The following is a 21,106-nucleotide window of genomic DNA, read 5'->3' as shown; positions in this document are numbered from 1 at the left end:
CAAAGAATGACATTTGGAAGTTCAAGAAGTCCTGTCAACTGACCTAGATAGTGTCATGGTGTAATGATTGGCGCTACCAAAGTTCCTCAATGGAGGACATTGCTGAAATCTTACTGGAAAGGGTCCTGTCAAGTGTGATGAATACTAATAAGGCCTTTAAATGGCACAGTTTTCTGTTCAGGAAACGTATCTTCCATGCTAAGAAGAAACTGGTCCTGTTTATCCATTTATTGTTATTAGCATTTTTTCTTTAGATATAAGGATTAGTAACCTGCTTTTTACTTTAAATTCCAGATTAGTGGTGGTTGCTTTCTGAAAACTCCTGAGAACATTTTGTGACTGCTTGGACAAGTGGCAGACATTCTATGATAACCAGGGCTTGCTGATAGCCAAAAGAGCCTATTTTTCCAAAATGTGTTGCAAGCTTTCAGGCTTACTGCAAGTGAGCCCCATTCTGTGAAAACCGGTAGGACTCAAGACATGCTGTAGTCCTACCAATGTCAACCTGCCTGTTGTTCAACAAAAGTCTGTGCTTCTGATTTTACCTGTTTAGTCCTGGGAATGTTGGGATTTATTTCCCGTAAAACCAAACCTATGGTTTCATACATCAAGACCAGAGACCGTGGAAGTTCCGTACTGAAAACCACTTTCTTCCAGAAACCAATTTTATTGCCATTTCCTCAGGAAATAATCTCTCGTATTTGACACCTCTCACATCCAGCTGAGTTGAGAGGATTCTTCTCTTGTTTTCAGTGCAAAAGTTCAGCCTATTAGACCACCTGTGTGATTGATGGTTTGGTGAGAGTTGCTACATTGTTTAGCCTGAACTATCCTTATATTGAATATTGAAGGAAAGTGTGAGATATGTAATTTAAAGAAGCACATCTGTTGTAGTATAAGTGTGTCTCCTTTAAAATTCAGGTAGGGCTCCTCACTCATGAATGGGATTAAGGCCCTCGTAAAAAACGCTTCACACAGTTTTTAGCCTCTTGCCCTTCCACATTCTACCATGTGAGTACACAGCATTCATCCCCTCTGGAGGATGCAAGACGCCATCTTGGAAGTGGAGACCATGCCCTTTGCCAGACATTGAACCTGCTGGTGCCTTAATCTTGGACTTTTCAGCCTCCATGTGTTCTTTATAAATTACCCAGTCTACCGTATTTTATCACAGCACAAATGAACTAAGACAACATCTTTGTTACTCATAAATGTATAAGACATACAGAATTTAGTTCATTGTCACTGGCCATCTTTTTAAATACAAATTTGTATGATTTATAAATAGTGTGTCAAATTTATATAAACAAGTTTTGAAAGTTTCTCTTTAACTGTATTTTAGTACATTCTTGATGTAGAATTACTTATTTTTGCCTCCACTTTTATCCTGTAATACTAAGGTGAACCTTAGCTTCCTTTCCTAGATTACCACACCACAGTTAGTTAATTAGTAAATTACAATTTCCTATTATCAAATTAAATGTGATATTCTCCTGGTTACAATTGCACAATTGTCAATAGTACTGAATTATCACTGTAGTGTGGGAACACAGTTTATTCTCAAATCCAGGGACAATAGTGACTTCTAACCAACCTCTCCAAGAAATCTTCAACTTTCCACATTAACAGAAATATATTTTTCCAAAGTAAACGAGACACTATTTTTATTCTATTCTGAAATGATCAAACTTGCACTACTTCGTGCTGAGAAATTGGAAATGATGATTGAGAGTAATAGAATGGAGTTAGGAATGTTGAGGCTGTTGTTATCTTTAATAAGAAGGAGATTTGTGCAGGAGCTATGGGTGTCCTTATGTAACATAAACGCAAATTGTGTCATTTCCAGAGAGGAGTAACCATGGTGATGAGGGGAATCTTTTGAAGGAACCAGAATTGCTACACAGTATCTACCCCCAAAGTCTATAAAATGTTGCCATTCATTAAAAGAAGTAGTCTTACTGATTTGCACAGCCATGAATTAAAGTGATAAAAATAATTTTAATATAAGGGACATAATTCTCTTTAGAAATTGAATGTGAGATAGTGTAATACAATGGCAGAGCTTGAGGTATTTGGAATCACATATATAATAACTTGGTTCAATAGAGTTGACAGAACAACTCTGCTTTAAAATAATTAATATTTTATGTGAAGAGTGTTCAATCCCTCATTCCTGGCTCCAATTATGATTTCCTCATTTGTTTGAGGCTATGGCCCTTTACTAATCCACTTCTCTTGTTTTATCGTAAGGGAAGATATAAGAAGATTTTGCTGGCCAGACGTGGTGGCTCACACCTATAATCCCAGCACTTTGGGAGGCCGAGTTACTGTTTACTAGCCTTGCATCCTTGCAAAAGTTGTTTAAACTCCATCATTTTATTCTCTCCACTTGTAAGGATGAAAAGGGTATTTCCCTCACTCAGCTAATGTGAGAATTGAATAAAAATATGATGTATGGAAAGCTCTTCATACAATTCTGAGTACAAAGCAAAATGCTCAAAAATTGCTCAAGAAATTTTAGTCATTTTTATTGCAGCATGGTGAGTATCTCATTCCTAGAAACACTAAGGCACATAAGGAAGGAGTGCCTGTCAGAACTGTGGTAGGGTGTGAATTAATGCAGAACTTTATTTGCATAGTTATACTTTGAAGTCCATTCTGAATCTTAGATGCTACATTTATATAAATGTAAAGCATAATAATTATCTAAATGTAGAATTATATGTTTAAAATTAGATGATTACATCAACTGATGTAATTCATAGATTTTCCCTAGGGTTCTGTTTCCTGAACATTCTGTAACGTACTAGTTAGCAAAGCCTTTTTGTTTGTTTTTGAAACTGAGTCTCACTCTGTCGACTAGACTGGAGTGCAGTGGTGTGCTCCTGACTCACTGCAACCTCCACCTCCCAGGTTCAAGCAATTCTCATGCCTCAGCCTCACGAGTAGCTGGGATTACAGGCATGCACCACCAAGCCCAGCTGATTTTTGTATTTTTTTAGTAGAGATGGGATTTCACCGTGTCGGCCAGGCTGGTCTGGTACTCCTGACCTCAAGTGATCCGCCCACCTTGGCCTCCTAAAGTGCTGAGATTACAGGCGGGAGCCACCGCGCCCGGCCAGCAAAGTCTTCTAATATCTTCCCTTACGATAAAACAAGAGAAGTGGAATACTAAAGGGCCATAGCCTTAAACAAAGGAGGAAATCATAATGGGAGCCAAGAATGAGGGATTGAACACTCGACATAAAATATTAATTATGGTAAAACAGAGTTGTTCTGTCAACAGCTGACTTTGAGTCCTTGATCGATCATCTCAGCCCCCTGCATACTTTGATTACACAGTTGACCTTAACACATTGATAGGGTAAGTGCTATACAAAAGCAACTTCGGACTCTCCATTGCACATAGGTGGCCCCTGCAAGCCCCTTGCCTGTGTGTGTTCTGGAGATGACACTAAACTTGGGGGCAGCATCAGGAGACACACTTGAAAAAACTCTTTTTACTCAGATTAAATTATTAACTAACTTTCAATTTCCTTTAACTTATTACAGACATCTCTACCTGTAAATAGGTACAGATTAAGCTCTCCGGTCAACAGCTGTCATTCTGTCATATCATCAGATACCCGGAGCTGCTGCTCCTTGAGGCATCCACAGAATCACATTTTCTAGTGTTGAAAGACCTGAAAGATCATGGTGCCTTCATTTCAACTGTGAGACATGACGTAATTTTCCCAAATCTACAACATTAAGATATGGTGCAATAAGGACCAGATTAAAGGTCTCCTGATTTGCGGCCATGTTCCCTCCATCTCCTTTACTCCTAAACACACTCACACTCACTCCTGCAAATAGTTGTCTTGTCAAGTGGGAAATGAATGCTCTTACAAGGCTCAAACTTGTGAACACATCACTGACCAGCACAGAGCTGGCTACAATAGCTCCCCAATTAAGGTGTTTTACATGCAACTGGTTCAAACCTTCCAAGTGCTAAATTAAAACAATCCTTTAAAGAAGGAAATTCTGTTTCAGAAGAGGACCTTCATACAGCATCTCTGACCAGCAACTGATGATGCTATTGAACTCAGATGCTGATTGGTTCTCCAACACGAGATTACCCAACCCAGGAGCAAGGAAATCAGTAACTTCCTCCCTATAACTTGGAATGTGGGTGGAGGGGTTCATAGTTCTCCCTGAGTGAGACTTGCCTGCTTCTCTGGCCCCTGGTCCTGTCCTGTTCTCCAGCATGGTGTGTCTGAAGCTCCCTGGAGGCTCCTGCATGACAGCGCTGACAGTGACACTGATGGTGCTGAGCTCCCCACTGGCTTTGTCTGGGGACACCCGACGTAAGTGCACATTGCGGGTGCTGAGCTACTATGGGGTGGGGAAAATAGGGAGTTTTGTTAACATTGTGCCCAGGCCATGTCCCTTAAGAAATTGTGACGTTTTCTTCAGAGATTGCCCATCTTTATCATTGGATCCCAAATTATTTCCTCCATAAAAGGAGCTTGGGTACTTGCCCTCTTCATGAGACTTGTGTAAGGGGCCTTTGCACAAATCATTTCTTTTCAAATCTCCACCAATAAAACCTTTGCATCACATGTCCTCAGGGTCTTTAGAGGATTTAGAAATAAGGATTCTAAAATAAATTCCCCATACAGCACTTCCCTTTATTATGTTGACTTATGTCAGACAAAAGGAGGTTCTTACTGAAAATTTTGTGGGAGTCAAGGGAATTCAAAGGGTCTCTCCTAGACGATCCAGTGTTAGGTTCCCCACAGGACCTTTGGTGTTGGCCATAGTCCTCATATGTGAGGATGGACCCAGTGGCCTCCCCATTATCTCCTTTCTTTTCTTGCTGAACTCCAATGTTTATAAGGCCTGTATCCCTGTAGTGTATGTAGGTTCTCTGACAGAAGTTATACTTAGTGCTCTTCCTTTCTTGTGGGGAAAAGTCCCTGGAACTGAAGCTGAGATTGTTAATACTTGGAGTCACCTTACAGATACAGAGCATTTATGAGGTATTCTTTGGTGCCTAAAGAACTTAAGGCATCCTCTGAAAAACTAGCCCAGGTTCGTGTTCATTATGAATCTTTTTTAACCTTTCTGTACTTGTTTCTCTTGCATCTCCTATGTGCTCTAACTAGACATGACAGAAGAGATTTAACTAATGTATAAATTATATGAAATTCTATTTTTTAAGTCAAAAATAATCAACTATCAGAAATTTAATAATGTTCAAACTATATACTCTGTGTGGGGTTACCGAGATGATGTGAACATTGTTCACGTCTCATAGGGCTGAAAGTCAATGGGCAAGTCTTGGGAACTCATTGTCTTACTGGGGTCTTGTCCTAAATTTCCTAGGTTCACCCATCATGCCCTCAGCTTTCCTTAACTAGCCATGTCTGCTTACCTCTTCCTCCAGTTTCTATTTTTCCCCAGCTATGTTGTCATCATTTCCAGAAATCTCTAAAGCTTGCACAGAACCTTAGCACTATGAGATTCATTGAAAGAGACTTTTTTTCTCTTTTTGAGGTAGGGCCTGGCTCTGTCACCCAGTCTATAGCTCAGTGGTGTGATCGAGGCTCACTGCAACCTCTGCCACTTATGCTCAAGTGATCCTCCCTCCTCAGGCTCCAGAGTAGCTGGGAATACAGGCAGGCAACCACGCCCAGCTAATTTTTGTAATTTTGGTAGACATGAGATTTTGCCATGTTGCCCAGGCTGGTCTTGAACTGCTGGACTCAAGCAATCCTCCTGCCTTGGCCTCCCAACATGCTAGGATTATAGATGTGAGACACTGTGCCCAGGCAAAAGAGATGACTCTTAATAAAAAAATTTCCTTTTTCTTAAATCACTGTTTCTTTATCTGTGAATTCTTCTTCCAACTAGAAGGAGGAGAAAAAAGAAGTTTGCCTGTATTTATCACTGGGAGGAGAAGGGGTCTAGTGTGACATTAAAATGAAAGAGTGCTGGAGCTTGAGCCCCTTCTTGCTTTCCAGGATCCCTACAGTGATCAGTTCCCATACCCTGGTTTATTCATGTAAACCACACTTATTTTTCTCAGCAGCTACTCTTTACTGGGCTCCATTCTAGGTTCAAATCATTCTATTTGATTAAGTTAGAGAGCGTCCCTACTCTCATGGAAGTTACACAAGAGTAGAGGAGACAGACACTAACCCAATAAGCATTTAACAAAGAAGATAATGTTAGAGAGTCATAGTGCACTGAAGAAAAGACATCAGGTTTGTGAAAAAGAGAGACATGGATTCACCTACTTTAGTTCATATGTTAGGGAGCTCCACCTGAGAAAGTGACATTCAGCTGAGACAACAAAATAAGTAGACAGTCGTGAAGATCTAAGGGATGAAAGTTCCAGGGAGACCGAATCGGGGGAAAGCCCTGATGTGTTAAATTATGTGGAGGGAGAGAAAGAAAGCTAGAGGGGCTGATGTATAGAAAGCAAGGAAATGGAGAGGCAGAAGATGAGGGTAGGACACAGAGAGGAATTCAGGAGCCTCATCATTATAGGCTCTGATGTCCACAGTAAAAAAAAATTAAATTTTATTATTTATTTATTTGTTTGTTTATTTTATTTTATTTTGTGATGGAGTCTCTCTCTGTTGCCCAGGCTAGATTGCTGTGGCACAATCTCGGCTCACTGCAACCTCCGCCTCCTGGGTTCAAGCGATTCTCCTGCCTCAGCCTCCCGATTAGCTGGGGCCACAGGCGCATGCCACCACACCTGGCTAATTTTTTGTATTTTTAGTAGGGATAGGGTTTCACCGTGTTAGCCAGGATGGTCTCGATCTCCTGACCTCGTGATCCGCCCGCCTTGGCCTCCCAAAGTGCTGGGATTACAGGCGTGAGCCACTGCGCCCGGCCTATATTCAATGTTTAAAACTAATTCTAGCTACTCTGTGGGGATTGGATTGTTGGGGTTCACTAGTGGTTAGGAAGACTATTTAGGAGCACAGCAGGGAATTCTTCAGGGAAAACAGGTTTGTGGCTTCATGGAGTGCATTAGTGATAAAGATGGTGAAAAAGATAAAGTGGACAGACTTGGCATGTATTTTTGCTTAGCTTGTTAATGAATTACTGTAAAGGGGGTAGAACAATCAAGCTTATTCCTAAGGATTTTCTTTTGACAAATAAATGGGTGGTAGTGTTGTTTATTGAGATAGGAAAAACTATGGGAGGAAATGATTTGAAGTGGGTGGTTTGAAATAAAAGTTTTGTTTAAATATGAGATGATTGATTGACATTTATGTGGAGAAATCCGAAGGTCAATGGCATTTAAGAGACTCATGGTGAGGCCAGGGCTTCAGGTATTTATGTTGGCAGCAGCAATACGTGTAGTGTGTTAAATTCCAGGGCGTGGAAGAGGATACATAGGGAGATGGATTGTGTGAAGAAAAAAGAACAGGGCACAGGCCAGCAAAGGGGGCTGAGAAAGAGCCCAAGGATGCTGGAGAAAAACCAAGAGAACATCATGTGTGTAAGTCCAGGAAAATAGATTATTTTCAAGGAGAAGGGAGAGGCCAATTGTGGTGAGTACCACTAAGAGGAGGGGCAAGTGAGAATATGATAGAGAAGCAAGTGCTGGGTTTGGTGGAGTCGATATTTGCAGTCAATGGAGCATCCAGGTAGGAAACTGGATTGGACCATTTGAAGAGTGAGTAAAAGTGAGGACGAGGTTAAGGTTGACTGTTTTGAGTAGAGAGCTTCAGGGAAGGATTGTTCTCTGGGTTCAGGGAGCCAGCTGAACCTAAAGGAAAAGGCTAAAGAAGCTGAAGAGAAGGAGGAGGACCTGTGAACCAGAGATGCTCAGTCATTATTAGCGAGGAAATACGGAGAGCCCCTGTGTGCAGTGGTGACTACTCATGCAAAATGTCACACAGCCAATATTTAACACAGCCAGTATTTCACACAGCCAATATTTATTAGTGACATAGCATATACCAGTTATTACTCTAGGTCATGAGAATGGAGTGATAAATAAAATGAATCCAGTCGCCATCACTATATGCCATGTAACATTTTGCAATGACTGTGTATCAGGCCTATGAATTTCAGTATTCAATTTCAATAATGATCCTGTTGTATCTGTGGTATTTAAAAACATATACATCTCTGGAATCTAAAATTGAGAGGTTATAAGTAACACCCAGTATTACAAATTTAGTGCTGGAAATCAGATTGCAGTTTAAATCTGAGCATATAGAAAGTCCGTTTCTTCTATGTCAGCAGATGCTTTTTGTGTGAGGTTTAGGTATACTGCATTATTTGACATAAACCAGTGTTTCTGCCCTATGTCTTCAGAATGACAATTCTTTATGAAACTAATAGAAGAACAGAAGACAATTGCAAAATCATGATGAAGATACTAATTGCTTTAGAATTAAGGAATACAAAAAATAATATGAGCTGCAGTTATAGGATCAGAAAAGTTAAAATGGGAATGTATTCGAGTGTTTATTATGTGATCAGTGCTAAGAAGTGTCATCATTTAATTTTACACTTAACGGTAATCCTGTGAGGATTACGCTATTATTAAATGCATTTGATAGATTACAAAAAGGCTTATGGTTGGTAAAAATTGACCCAAGTAGAAGAGATCGTGTTTTTATTCAGGTTTTCTGATTATAGAGTTTGAGAGTTTGACCATCATTAGTGAGTAGTGACTATATTGTGTCTGAATTATTGACACAATTTCTGATATTCATATGTACCAGGCTGTTTCTTAGAGTGGGGACAGAAATGCAAGGGCTGCTAGTTCTGATGTATAGGAGAAACTTTCATTCATTTTGCATTTATCATTTTAAACGTTGTATATGTCTATCTGGGCATGTGTTCAAGAACACAAGGAAGTATTAAATCACTCCTTCTTCTGAGGTTTGACTAGCAAGTTGGGCTAGAGTTACAAATAAAATACAGGTTCCTAGTGAAATCTGAATTTCAGATACACAACCATAATTTATTGGAAATCCAAATTTAACTGGGAATCTTCTATTATTCTCTGCTCTAGAACGCCACACTTCTGATATTTCTCATTGCTGTCTAAGCTCTTGTGTGTTTGGTTTTTGGCCATCGCTTTCACTGCTCTTTAAGCTCCCCCAGAGGAGTGGAGAGGTCTGTTTTCCCTCGTTTGGATTCCTAGAGGCAGCGCAGGCCTGGCACAAGGTCATCACTAAGGAAGTGTTCACAGGGTGAACGCGGTGGGTGCTGTTGAAGGTACCGGTAAAGCGTGTGGGATGAGAGGAGCAGAGAGTGTCTTTGGGGCTCCCAGGAGGAGGCGGCGCGGGCTGCGGTGCTGGGCGGATCCTCCTCCAGCTCCTGCTTGGAGGTCTCCAGAACAGGCTGGAGGCAGGGAGGGGGTCCCAAAAGCCTGGGGATGAGAAGGGGTTTTCCCGCATGGTCCCCCAGGCCCCCGTTCGCCTCAGGAAGACGGAGGATGAGCTCCTGGGCTGCAGGTGGTGGGCGTTGCGGGTGGGGCCGGTTAAGGTTCCAGCGCCCGCACCCCGCTCAGGGAGCCCCGGATGGTGGCGTCGCTGTCCGTGTCTTCTCAGGAGGCCGCCCTGTGACCGGATGGTTCGTGTCCCCACAGCACGTTTCCTGTGGCAGCCTAAGAGGGAGTGTCATTTCTTCAATGGGACGGAGCGGGTGCGGTTCCTGGACAGATACTTCTATAACCAGGAGGAGTCCGTGCGCTTCGACAGCGACGTGGGGGAGTTCCGGGCGGTGACGGAGCTGGGGCGGCCTGACGCTGAGTACTGGAACAGCCAGAAGGACATCCTGGAGCAGGCGCGGGCCGCGGTGGACACCTACTGCAGACACAACTACGGGGTTGTGGAGAGCTTCACAGTGCAGCGGCGAGGTGAGCATGGCCGCGGGCGGGGCCTGAGTCCCCGTGAGCTGGGAATCTGAGTGTGTGTGTGTGTGTGTGTGTGTGTGTGTGTGTGTGTGTGAGAGAGAGACAGAGAGAGACAGAGAGAGGAAGAGAGAGAGAGAGCGCCATCTGTGAGCATTTAGAATCCTCTCAGTCCGGAGCAAGCAGTTCTGAGAGCACAGGTGTGTGTGTAAAGTGTGGATTTGTCTGTGTCTGTGTGTCTGTTGTGGGAGGGGAGGCAGGAGGGGGCTGTTTCTTATCCTTGGAGACCTCTGTGGGGAGGTGACAAGGGAGGTGGGTGCTGGGGGCTGGAGAGAGAGGAGACCTTGATTATCTCGGTCCTTAGAGATGCAGGGAAGGGAAATGTAAGGTGTGTGTGGTTGGGGTGAAGGTTTAGGGGAGGACTGCTGAGGGGTAAGGCAGGTTTGGGATAATGTGAGGAGGCCAGTTCCAGACTCTCCCTGGCATACACCCTTCGTGTAATCTCTGAATTAAAAGTGTGTGCTGTTTGTTTGTAAAAGCAATAGATTAATTTCTAGAGGAACTGAGTAGACCTCTGAGGCACCTCTGAAGCTTCTTTAGATCTAAATTTCTTCCTAGTTTTTTGTTTTTTTCAGTGTGTATATTTTTACATAGTAGAAATGACTGTGAAACTAACTTTTTGAATTAAAGTTTTGACACGGTTACTATTTTATTATAATGCTGGTAGTTTTCTAGTAGTTACATATTATTCTTTTATATATAATATTTGTGACACAACTCACCTCACTTTCCCGTTTGTTGACCTTTATTATGACATTCACCAGAAGTTGAAATTGTGTGTTTCTGGTTAATTTTTAATTTATATTTTTTATTTGTAATTCCTTTGAATTATTTTGCCCTATTTATTGGCCGATTATAATTATTGCTCTAAGAATTCCCTATTGTATTTGGTAGGTAATGGACAATGATCTACGGTCTAATATCTTGAGGGCTTAGTATTTTTCTCAGTGACTTTCTGCGTTCTTTGTACTATAAGATTATTAACACTTTATTGATATTTGATCCAGCATTTGCTCCAGTTTGTGGTTTGTATGTGGATTTTGAAAATTCTTTTCCATGTTAAGAATTTGAACATTTTTATTTAATAAAATATATTGCAACATTTTTATTAATGATCTACAATCCATCTGAAATCTGCCATTTTGTGGCATTGTTGTCTCCAGGTTTCTCCTTACTTCTAAAAAAATAGTTGTATTTATTGAGAGTATGCTAGTGTCGGGGATTTTCCTGGGCATAAGCACCCCAAGTAACGAGTCCCAGACACTGCCTTAATCCAAATGTGATTCTGGAAAGAAAAATCATTTTACAATGATAGGCCTAATAATAATTATGCTTGTGTTGCACGGGAGATGCATTGATCAGCTAAATGTAAATATAAGAACTTTCAAAACTTAAATGACGTTCCCTAATCCTTCTCTCTGCTTCAGGACTCATGCTTTTCTAGGAAAGTAAAAATTTGGAGAATCATTTCTGTCTGTCCCACCTTCCCAGGGGCAGAACAATTTCTGTTGTGTTCTAAGGTGTGAGTGCATGGGAGTAGTATTCCTAAAATTCATACTTGGTTTCCTCATGTACCCAACTCTGTCCCTTTATCTATGCATATTGCTTTAAATCATATTTTTCTGTCAAGGTGTACAAGGATGATAAATAGGTGCCAAGTGGAGCACTCAAGTGTGATGAGTGCCCTCACAGTGGAATGGAGTGAGAAGCTTTCTGACCTCATAAACTGAAGGCTATCTTCAGTCATTGTTTTATATATTTTACGTGCATTAATCCTCATATAACCCCAAGAGGTAAATTAGTATAATTATCCTTCATTGTAGGTGACAAAGTTGAGACACAGAAGAATCAAAAAACTCTTCCAGGATCAACCAGTAAAAGGCAGACCTTGGATTCGAACCAGGCAACCTGGCTCAAATATCAGTTTTAATTACTACACTCTGTACTTTCCAAGATTTGTAAACAGTTTGACAATGCATGCCGATTTAAAACTATGAAGAAACAAACACAATTTTTCACAACACCTCTCAAATCTAATGGGTCCTCACTGTCAAGATTAAATTCCAGGCTGATGACACTGTAAGGTCACATGGCCAGCTGTGCTATAGGCCTGGTCAAGGCCAGAGCCTGGGTTTGCAGAGAAGCAGACACACAGCCAAACCAGGAGACTTACTCTGTCTTCCTGACTCATTCCCTCTACGTTGTTTTTCTCCTAGTCCAACCTAAGGTGACTGTATATCCTTCAAAGACCCAGCCCCTGCAGCACCACAACCTCCTGGTCTGCTCTGTGAGTGGTTTCTATCCAGGCAGCATTGAAGTCAGGTGGTTCCTGAACGGCCAGGAAGAGAAGGCTGGGATGGTGTCCACAGGCCTGATCCAGAATGGAGACTGGACCTTCCAGACCCTGGTGATGCTGGAAACAGTTCCTCGAAGTGGAGAGGTTTACACCTGCCAAGTGGAGCACCCAAGCGTGACAAGCCCTCTCACAGTGGAATGGAGTGAGCAGCTTTCTGACTTCCTAAATTTCTCACCCACTAAGAAGGGGACCGTGCTAATCCCTGAGTGTCAGGTTCCTCCTCTCCCACATCCTATTTTAATTTGCTCCATGTTCTCATCTCCATCAGCACAGGTCACTGGGGGTAGCCCTGTAGGTGTTTCTAGAAACACCTGTACCTCCTGGAGAAGCAGTCTCGCCTGCCAGGCGGGAGAGACTGTCCCTCTTTTGAACCTCCCCATGATTTTGCAGGTCAGGGTCACCCACTCTCCCAGGCTCCAGGCCCTGCCTCTGGGTCTGAGACTGAGTTTCTGGTGCTGTTGCTCTGAGTTATTTTTTGTGATCTGGGAAGAGGAGAAGTGTAGGGGCCTACCTGACATGAGGGGAGTCCAATCTCAGCCCTGCTTTTTATTAGCTTTGTCACTCTAGACAAACTACTTATCCTCATTGAGTCTCAGGCTTTCTGTGGATCAGATGTTGAACTTGTGCCTTACATCAAGGCTGTAATATTTGAATGAGTTTGATGTCTGAACGTCGTAACTGTTCAGTGTAATTTGAAATCCTTTTTTTCTCCTGAAATGGCTAGTTATTTTAGTTCTTGTGAGGCAGCTTTCTGCCCCATTTTCAAAGCTCTAAATCTTAGAGTCTCAAGTAAAAAGGTTCAATTTGGAATAAACATCACTAAACCTGGCTTCCTCTCTCAGGAGCACGGTCTGAATCTGCACAGAGCAAGATGCTGAGTGGAGTCGGGGGCTTTGTGCTGGGCCTGCTCTTCCTTGGGGCCGGGCTGTTCATCTACTTCAGGAATCAGAAAGGTGAGGAGCCTTTGGGAGCTGGCTCTCTCCATAGGCTTTTCTGGAGGAGGAACTATGGCTTTGCTGAGGTTAGTTCTCAGTATATGAGTGGCCCTGAATAAAGCCTTTCTTTCCCCAAACGGCTCTAATGTCCTGCTAATCCAGAAATCATCAGTGCATGGTTACTATGTGAAAGCATAATAGCTTGTGGCCTGCAGAGACGAGAGGAAGGTTAACAAGTAGGGGTCCTTTGGTTTGAGATCCTGGAGCAAATTAAGGAAGAGCCACTAAGGCTAATGGAATTACACTGGATCCTGTGACAGACACTTCAGGCTTCATGGGTCACATGGTCTGTTTCTGCTCCTTTCTGCCCTGGTTGGTGTGGGTTGTGGTGTTAGAGAAATCTCAGGTGGGAGATCTGGGGCTGGGACATTGTGTTGGAGGACAGATTTGCTTCAATAACTTTTAAGTGTATATCTTTTCCTCTTTTTCCCAGGACACTCTGGACTTCAGCCAACAGGTAATACCTTTTAATCCTCTTTTAGAAACAGACACAGTTTCCCTAGTGAGAGGTGAAGCCAGCTGGACTTCTGGGTGGGGTGGGGACTTGGAGAACTTTTCTTACAAGAGGTTTTTTTTTGTTTTTTTTTTTTTTTTTTTTTTTGAGACGGAGTCTCGCTCTGTCGCCCAGGCTGGAGTGCAGTGGCGGGATCTCGGCTCACTGCAAGCTCCGCCTCCCGGGTTCACGCCATTCTCCTGCCTCAGCCTCCCAAGTAGCTGGGACTACAGGCGCCCGCCACTACGCCCGGCTAATTTTTTGTATTTTTAGTAGAGACGGGGTTTCACCGTTTTAGCCAGGATGGTCTCGATCTCCTGACCTCGTGATCCGCCCGCCTCGGCCTCCCAAAGTGCTGGGATTACAGGCGTGAGCCACCGCGCCCGGCCTACAAGAGGTTTCTAAATGCACCAATCAGTGCTTTGTAAAAACACACCAATAGGTTCTCTGTGGCTAGCTGGATGTTTGTAAAATGGACCAATTCGCACTCTGTAAAATAGACCAATCAGCACTCTTTAAAATGGACCAATCAGCACTTTTAAAATGGGCCAATCACCACTCTTTAAAATGGACCAATCAGCACTCTTTAAAATGGACCAATCTGCAGGACATGGGCAGGGACAAATACAGGAATAAAAGCTGGCCACCCCAACCAGCAGTGGCAACCCACTCAGGTCCTCTTCCCTGCTGTGGAAGTTTTGTTCTTTTGATCTTCACAATAAATCTTGCTGCTGCCCACTCTTTGGATCCCTGCCGCCTTTAAGAGCTGTAACACTCACTGTGAAGGTCTGCAGGAAGTCAGCGAGACCACAAACCCACCGGAAGGAACAAACTCAGGACACACCAGAATGATGGTAGAGGTGATAAGGCATGAGACAGAAATAATAGGAAAGACTTTGGATCCAAATTTCTGATCAGGCAATTTACACCAAAATTCCTCCTCTCCACTTAGAAAAGGTGTGCTCTGCGGGACTATTGGCTCAGGGGAGACTCAGGAACTTCTTTTTCTTCTTCCTGCAGTGCTCTCATCTGAGCCCTTGAAAGAGGGGAAAAGAAACTGTTAGTAGAGCCAGGTTGAAAACAACACTCTCCTCTGTCTTTTGCAGGATTCCTGAGCTGAAATGCAGATGACCACATTCAAGGAAGAACTTTCTGCCCCGGCTTTGCAGGATGAAAAGCTTTCCTGCTTGGCAGTTATTCTTCCACAAGAGAGGGCTTTCTCAGGACCTGGTTGCTACTGGTTCGGCAACTGCAGAAAATGTCCTCCCTTGTGGCTTCCTCAGCTCCTGCCCTTGGCCTGAAGTCCCAGCATTGATGGCAGCGCCTCATCTTCAACTTTTGTGCTCCCCTTTGCCTAAACCGTATGGCCTCCCGTGCATCTGTATTCACCCTGTATGACAAACACATTACATTATTAAATGTTTCTCAAAGATGGAGTTAAATATCATCTGGTCCATTTGGCTCCAAAGACAGAAAATGAAAAGAAAAAGGGAAGATTATTTTCCAATAGAATAATGATTTTCATGTATATGTCATGAGTGTGTGAGGTAATGCGTATGTTAAATAGCTGGATTTAGACATTCCACACTATAGCCATATATCAAAACTTCATGCTGTACAACATAAATATACTATACAATTTTTACTTGTCAATTAAAAAAGTAATCCTAACATTTAAAAAGGCAATGCATAAAAACTGAGAACAGACTATAACAACTGAAACAAACTGGGCAAACATGAGATGAGAAACCAGCCAGCAAGTCAATCAGAACTCTTTCTTCATCTCGTCTACAATATTTTGTATTTATAACTGTAAATTAGTGTATAGTGTTTCACTCCAGAGACTTCAATAATACAGTGTTATCAAAGGACTTGTACAGATTTCAGAGAAAGACACATTTAGAAGATGGAGAGTTCTCCGTTATGTTCTATCTGAGAGTCAGTATGAAATGTCAAATCTAAAAGTACATAATTCAGAGGTCTATTTCAAATTAATAATCATTTGAGCATAATTTCTCCACTGTCAGAGACGACTGTTATTTTATTTTCAATCAAATTAAAAGTTGTTTTTATGCATATCTTATTTTTAGTTATATGTTACTTGTACATACGTAGCAGTACAAGTGCATATAAATCCTGTAAGAGTATAAATCCTATAGAAATATATTAAGCTGATAATTATGTCTGTTCTGTTTGATCACAGAGTTGCAACAAATAGGCCTCATTTCCTAAGTTGAGGAAATGATTTTCTCATTTTATATGAGACTTGTGGTGTGGAATTTCAAGGTAGAACCAAAATGTGTGGAATGAATATTTCAATGAAGATGCGTTCTGCTGCTAATAGCAGGAAATCCCATCTAGTGGCTTTATTTTTCTTTAACCCGTTATCTCACATAGCCGATAGATCCAAGGCTGGGCATCTCCAGAGTTGCTCAACTCAGCAGGCCAGTGGCATCACCAGCGACCCTGGAACTTCATAGCTCATCTCTCTATCACACACAGTATGTCAGCTTTCCTGAGATGGTAGGGTGACCCCTGCAGCAGCTTTAGGTTTGTTATTCTTTCACAACAACTCCCAAAGGCAGGAAAAGGATACTCCTTTCTCCTGTGTGCCTTTATAAGGAGCAACTAAACTGTTTCCAGAGTGTTCCCAGTACCCACTTTCTCACACATTGGAATGACCGTGGGATCACATGGGCTCAGACAAGCCAGGATTCAACCTTTGCAGAGTGGGCCTGAGGCACATGGGAAGAAAAGGAGCAAAATCATGTATTTTAAAAAATAAAGAAATGGTGGATGGAGTAGCAGAGATTGATTTCCGGGTAGGGAAATGATAGATTGTGGTACTATCAGGTTGTAAGTATTTGAGTTAACTTCCACATGAAAGCCTATAGATTCCTGATAGGCACCCTCAATTCAGGGTTTTGGGTCTTTATATGTATACATATATATATATACACACACACACACGTATATATGTACATATATACATATATGTATATATAGGTGTGTATACATACACACACATAGAGTTATTAAATGTCAGCCATTAACTCAATTACAATAAAAAAAAGCAAGCAAACAGGATTGATTGTTTGTACAACTCAGTTAAGTATGCTGACATGTTATTTTATGAGGTAAATATATTTTCCAGGGAAAATATTGAAAAAAAGTAGAATAAGGAATGATTAGCTCTATAAGGTGCTAAAACATACCATACATTTACTTTTAAAAATGCATTTGTTACTGATTTTTTAAAATTATATATGCTAGCAAAACAGAGTCTAGAAATAGAAACAGAAAGAGCTGAGATTTAGTTTCAGTTTTTGGTAAGTTGAATTCCAAATTCATTTCTTTCACTAAATAGATCCTGGATAAATAAAACTTGAAACATAAAGAGAAAATATAAAGTTCATAAGACAGATGCTATTTCTAATACTATCATCATCATTATAATTATGTTTGAAGACAAATAGACTTTCTAATTCCTTATGTGTTGCTGGTGGGAGTGTATGAGTCTACAAATACCTGGTAATTTGGCAATTTCTTAAAAAGTTTAACATATGTTTGCCCTATGACCTAGCAATTTCACTCCTTGGAATCTACCTAAGAGACATAAAAACATATGTCCTCACATAGATATGTGTTCAAGGGTTCAGAACAGCCTTAGCCATAGCAGGCCAAAACTGAAAACAATCCAGATATCCTTCAACTAGTAAATAGATAAACAAAATTCAACTACATCCAGGCAAGGCAATATCATTCAACAATAAAAGGGGACAAAAATAGACTTATCTGGCAGGGGAGATACCATAAACATGAGGGTAGTTTTCCCAAGGCAAATTTCAACCCTTGCACCCTAGATGATGAGATTACTTAATGGGTACAATGCATGTGATTTGGGTAATGGATACTGTAGAAACACTAACGTCACCACTATGCAATCTATGCATGTACCAAAACTACACTTGTACCTTTTGCATTTGCACAAATGAAAAAAGACAAAAAGAAATGAAAAGAAAACAAAATGATGATACATACTACAAAACTAGTGAACTTCAATAGTGTTAACTAAGTGAAGGAAATTGGATACAAAAGATTACATGTTGTATGATTTCATTTACTTGAAATATCTAGAAAAGGTAAATTTATAGACACAAAAAGCAGATCATTGGGTGCCTAGGGTTTGGGGTCTCAGTGGGACTTAACTATAAATAGAGAAATTTGGGACATGACAGAAATGTTCTAAAACTAAATTGTTGTGATAATTGCACAAATCTATTAATTTACTCAAATTATTCAATTTTACATGTACAATGAGTGAATTTTGTAGTATGAAAGTTATGCTTTAGTAAATCTGTTAAAATAATCCTTTTTAAAAAAATAAGACTTCATAAGCAAGACAAAATCCAGAAGACACAAATGAAAAAATATTTGAAGAAAATTACTGATTTCTTTGCATGAAGAAAATAACAAAATTAAAAGAAGTATATGATGCTCAGGAAAAATTTTGATCACATAAGGCAGACAATGGGCTTTCTTATGAAAAATTGTTAACTAATCAATCAATAAATTCATGGAAATGCCATAGACAATTGGGCAAAGGATATAGACTCACTATAGAAGAGAATATCCTAATAGTCGATAAATATATATATATTTGCTCAAACTCACCAATGAAGAGAAAAAGCCAAATTCGAACAGCAATGTAATAAACTATTTCTCCTACTCCAAAATTGGCAAGTACAATAGTTTGTTTTAACCTCAAGGATTTAGAAGATTCTAAGGGAATAGACTCTCCCATATTATTAGGATTTTAAGTTATAACAGTGTAGTAGTATCTATTAAAACTCAAAATACAATTGTTACGCGCTTGATGAAAACAACAAAAATCCCGTTGTAAACATCCGTCTTAAAGAACAATCCTACATGAGCCCAACGAGACATAAAATTGGTCGTTTGTTGAGCCACGGTTTGGAATAACAAAAACATTTCCAAATTCAAAAAGAAAAACTGATTAATTTGTCTTGATTATAAAAATTTTGTACATCCTAAAAACTATGGAGCATGTGAAGTGACAGCACACTGCAGGATGACATTTGGTGCTGTGTGGGGCACTGTGAGCATATATTGGTGTAACCCTTTGAGTAGTTTGAATAATACAGTATTTCCACTCTAGGTTGTTACAGTCTCGGTGAATTTTTCCTCATATGTCCATGATGACATATAAAAAATGTAACAGGGGAGAAAAGAAACACTATCTACATTTAGATAGAGAAAAGGTAAACTGTGGTATAACCACAGAAAGGAATAATATTCAGGGCTTTAAGTAAATTATGTAGGACTATCAACATGGATTGGAAAAAAATCATAAACCATAATGCCAGTTAGGAGGTGGAAAATTACGAGAATTGTCACTATTACTATAAGAGCAAACAGATATATAGACTAAACTAAATGGATAAACTGGAAAATAATCTTATTTTAAAAATTTTAACCAGCTGTGGATCAAAAAGTATAAAAATTCCAAATTCCAGAGATGAACAAATTCCACATAGGCGAGCAGGGTCAAGTGTCCACTCTTATTCTTTGGTCATCTACTGAATCTTAACATGGGAAGAAGATTGAGCCTGGCTGAGAAAGGGAGATTGTGAGGGAGTAAGGATAAACCAGCTGAGTTGTCAATAGCCCTGTGGGTTTGTGTGATGCATTACAATCTATAGAGGCCCCCTGAATAATATATATCTACTTTGCCCTGTCAGCTGATTCTCCTTCCAGAACTTTTTCTGACTTCATGCTGGTGCTGTGGGAACTAGGGAGGTAGATGGAAGACAACAAATATCTCTGTAGCTTCGTGCAAAGATCAGGAAGGAAATCAAGATAGGAACAATACTTTCCACCTTCTTGACTTAGTTGGCATTTATAATTAACATAAATTGACAACATCTGATAACTACAGAATATTTACTTATTTACGTTGCACAAAGATAATCCATGAAATAGAACAAATACTGTGACTATAAAACTAGTCTCAATTACTTTCACAAGAATAAAATCATACAGAGTATATTCTCTGAACACAATCTTATGAAATTACAAATTAGTAGGATTGAGAAAACGGCCTAAATTTTTGGAAGTAAAATAATACATTTCTAAATAATCTATGGCTTGTCAAAGAGGAAATCAGAAGGAAATTAGAAAATAATTTTAAATAAAATAATACTAAAATGAATTTTAAAAATTTTCGAGATGCAACCAAGGCAGTCCTTAGAGAAAAATATTTAGTTTTAAATGCCTGTATTATAAAAGGATAAATATGTAAAAATCAAAGGGGTAAAATTTTAACTTAATAATAAAAAGAAGCAAATTTAAGTTGAAAAAAGTAGAAGAAAAAGCAAAGAGGTGAAGAAATTGATAAAATTATTTTCTTGGTTTTGTTTTCTATTTGTTTATGATAGAGCATAATTATGTTAGTCCATTCCTACATTTCCAGAAAGAAATACCTGAGGCTGGGTAATTCATAAAGAAAGGAGGTTTCACTGGCTCAGGGTTCTGCAGGCTCTACAGGAGGTGTGGTGCTGGCAATTGCTTCTGGTGAGGGCCTCAGGAAAATAACAATCATGGGGGAAGGAAAGGGGGTCCTGCATATCACATGGTGAGAGCAGGAGCACAGAGAAAGTTGGGGAACAGTTGCAGTCCTTTAAAAAACCAGGTCTCATGTGAACTGAGTGAGAACTCACTCATTACAGCTAGGATGGCACCAAGCCATTGATGAAGGATCTGCCCCCCGACCAAAATACCTCTCACCAGGCCTCACCTCCAACAATGGAGGTTACATTTTAACATGAGATCTGGAGGGCACAAGCATCCAAACTATATCAGTAACATAATTGGTTTAATGTATACTGACTTTGTAATCAGCAACATTATTTAAATTCACTTATTAAATCTGTGAGCTTGTCTATTGTTTTTATTTTCTAAGTACCTGATTATGTCAAGAGTAAATAATGACCATTTTACCTGGATGCAATTATTATCTCTTTGATATATTTTTCTTGCCATTATTATTGCCTAACTCCTCTAGTACTCCTGATATGAAGGAGATAGTTTTCAATATTTCACTGCTGAGACTAATGTGTGCAATTGGGTAGCTATCATTTCTCAGATTGGAGAAATATCTTTTTAATACAAGTTTGAAAACAGGTTTTTTCAAAATTAAGGCCAAGTGCTCAATTCTGTCAAATCGTATTTCACGACTCTATCCAGGTGGTTGCATGTGTATTCTCCTTCCTTCAGTTAATGTCGTGAATCACACTAATGGATTCTCA

General features: G+C 40.3%; 1 protein-coding gene and 1 pseudogene across 1 annotated transcript; both read left to right on the top strand.

Annotated features, from left to right (window-relative positions):
• The first annotated feature begins 4,140 nt into the window (after positions 1–4,140).
• HLA-DRB1 (major histocompatibility complex, class II, DR beta 1) lies at positions 4,141–15,214 on the top strand. The gene is made up of 6 exons (NM_002124.4): positions 4,141–4,346; positions 9,611–9,880; positions 12,151–12,432; positions 13,133–13,243; positions 13,719–13,742; positions 14,885–15,214. Exons 1-6 carry the CDS (start codon positions 4,247–4,249, stop codon positions 14,896–14,898), a joined length of 801 nt encoding a protein of 266 aa, NP_002115.2. The 5' UTR covers positions 4,141–4,246; the 3' UTR covers positions 14,899–15,214.
• Positions 17,566–17,712, top strand: RNU1-152P (RNA, U1 small nuclear 152, pseudogene; annotated as a pseudogene).

Source organism: Homo sapiens, chromosome 6 (genome assembly GCF_000001405.40).
Source record: "Homo sapiens chromosome 6, GRCh38.p14 Primary Assembly".
Lineage (NCBI taxonomy): Eukaryota > Metazoa > Chordata > Mammalia > Primates > Hominidae > Homo > Homo sapiens.
Note: the sequence above shows the minus strand (reverse complement) of the source record. Positions and strands in the feature narration are given on the sequence as shown.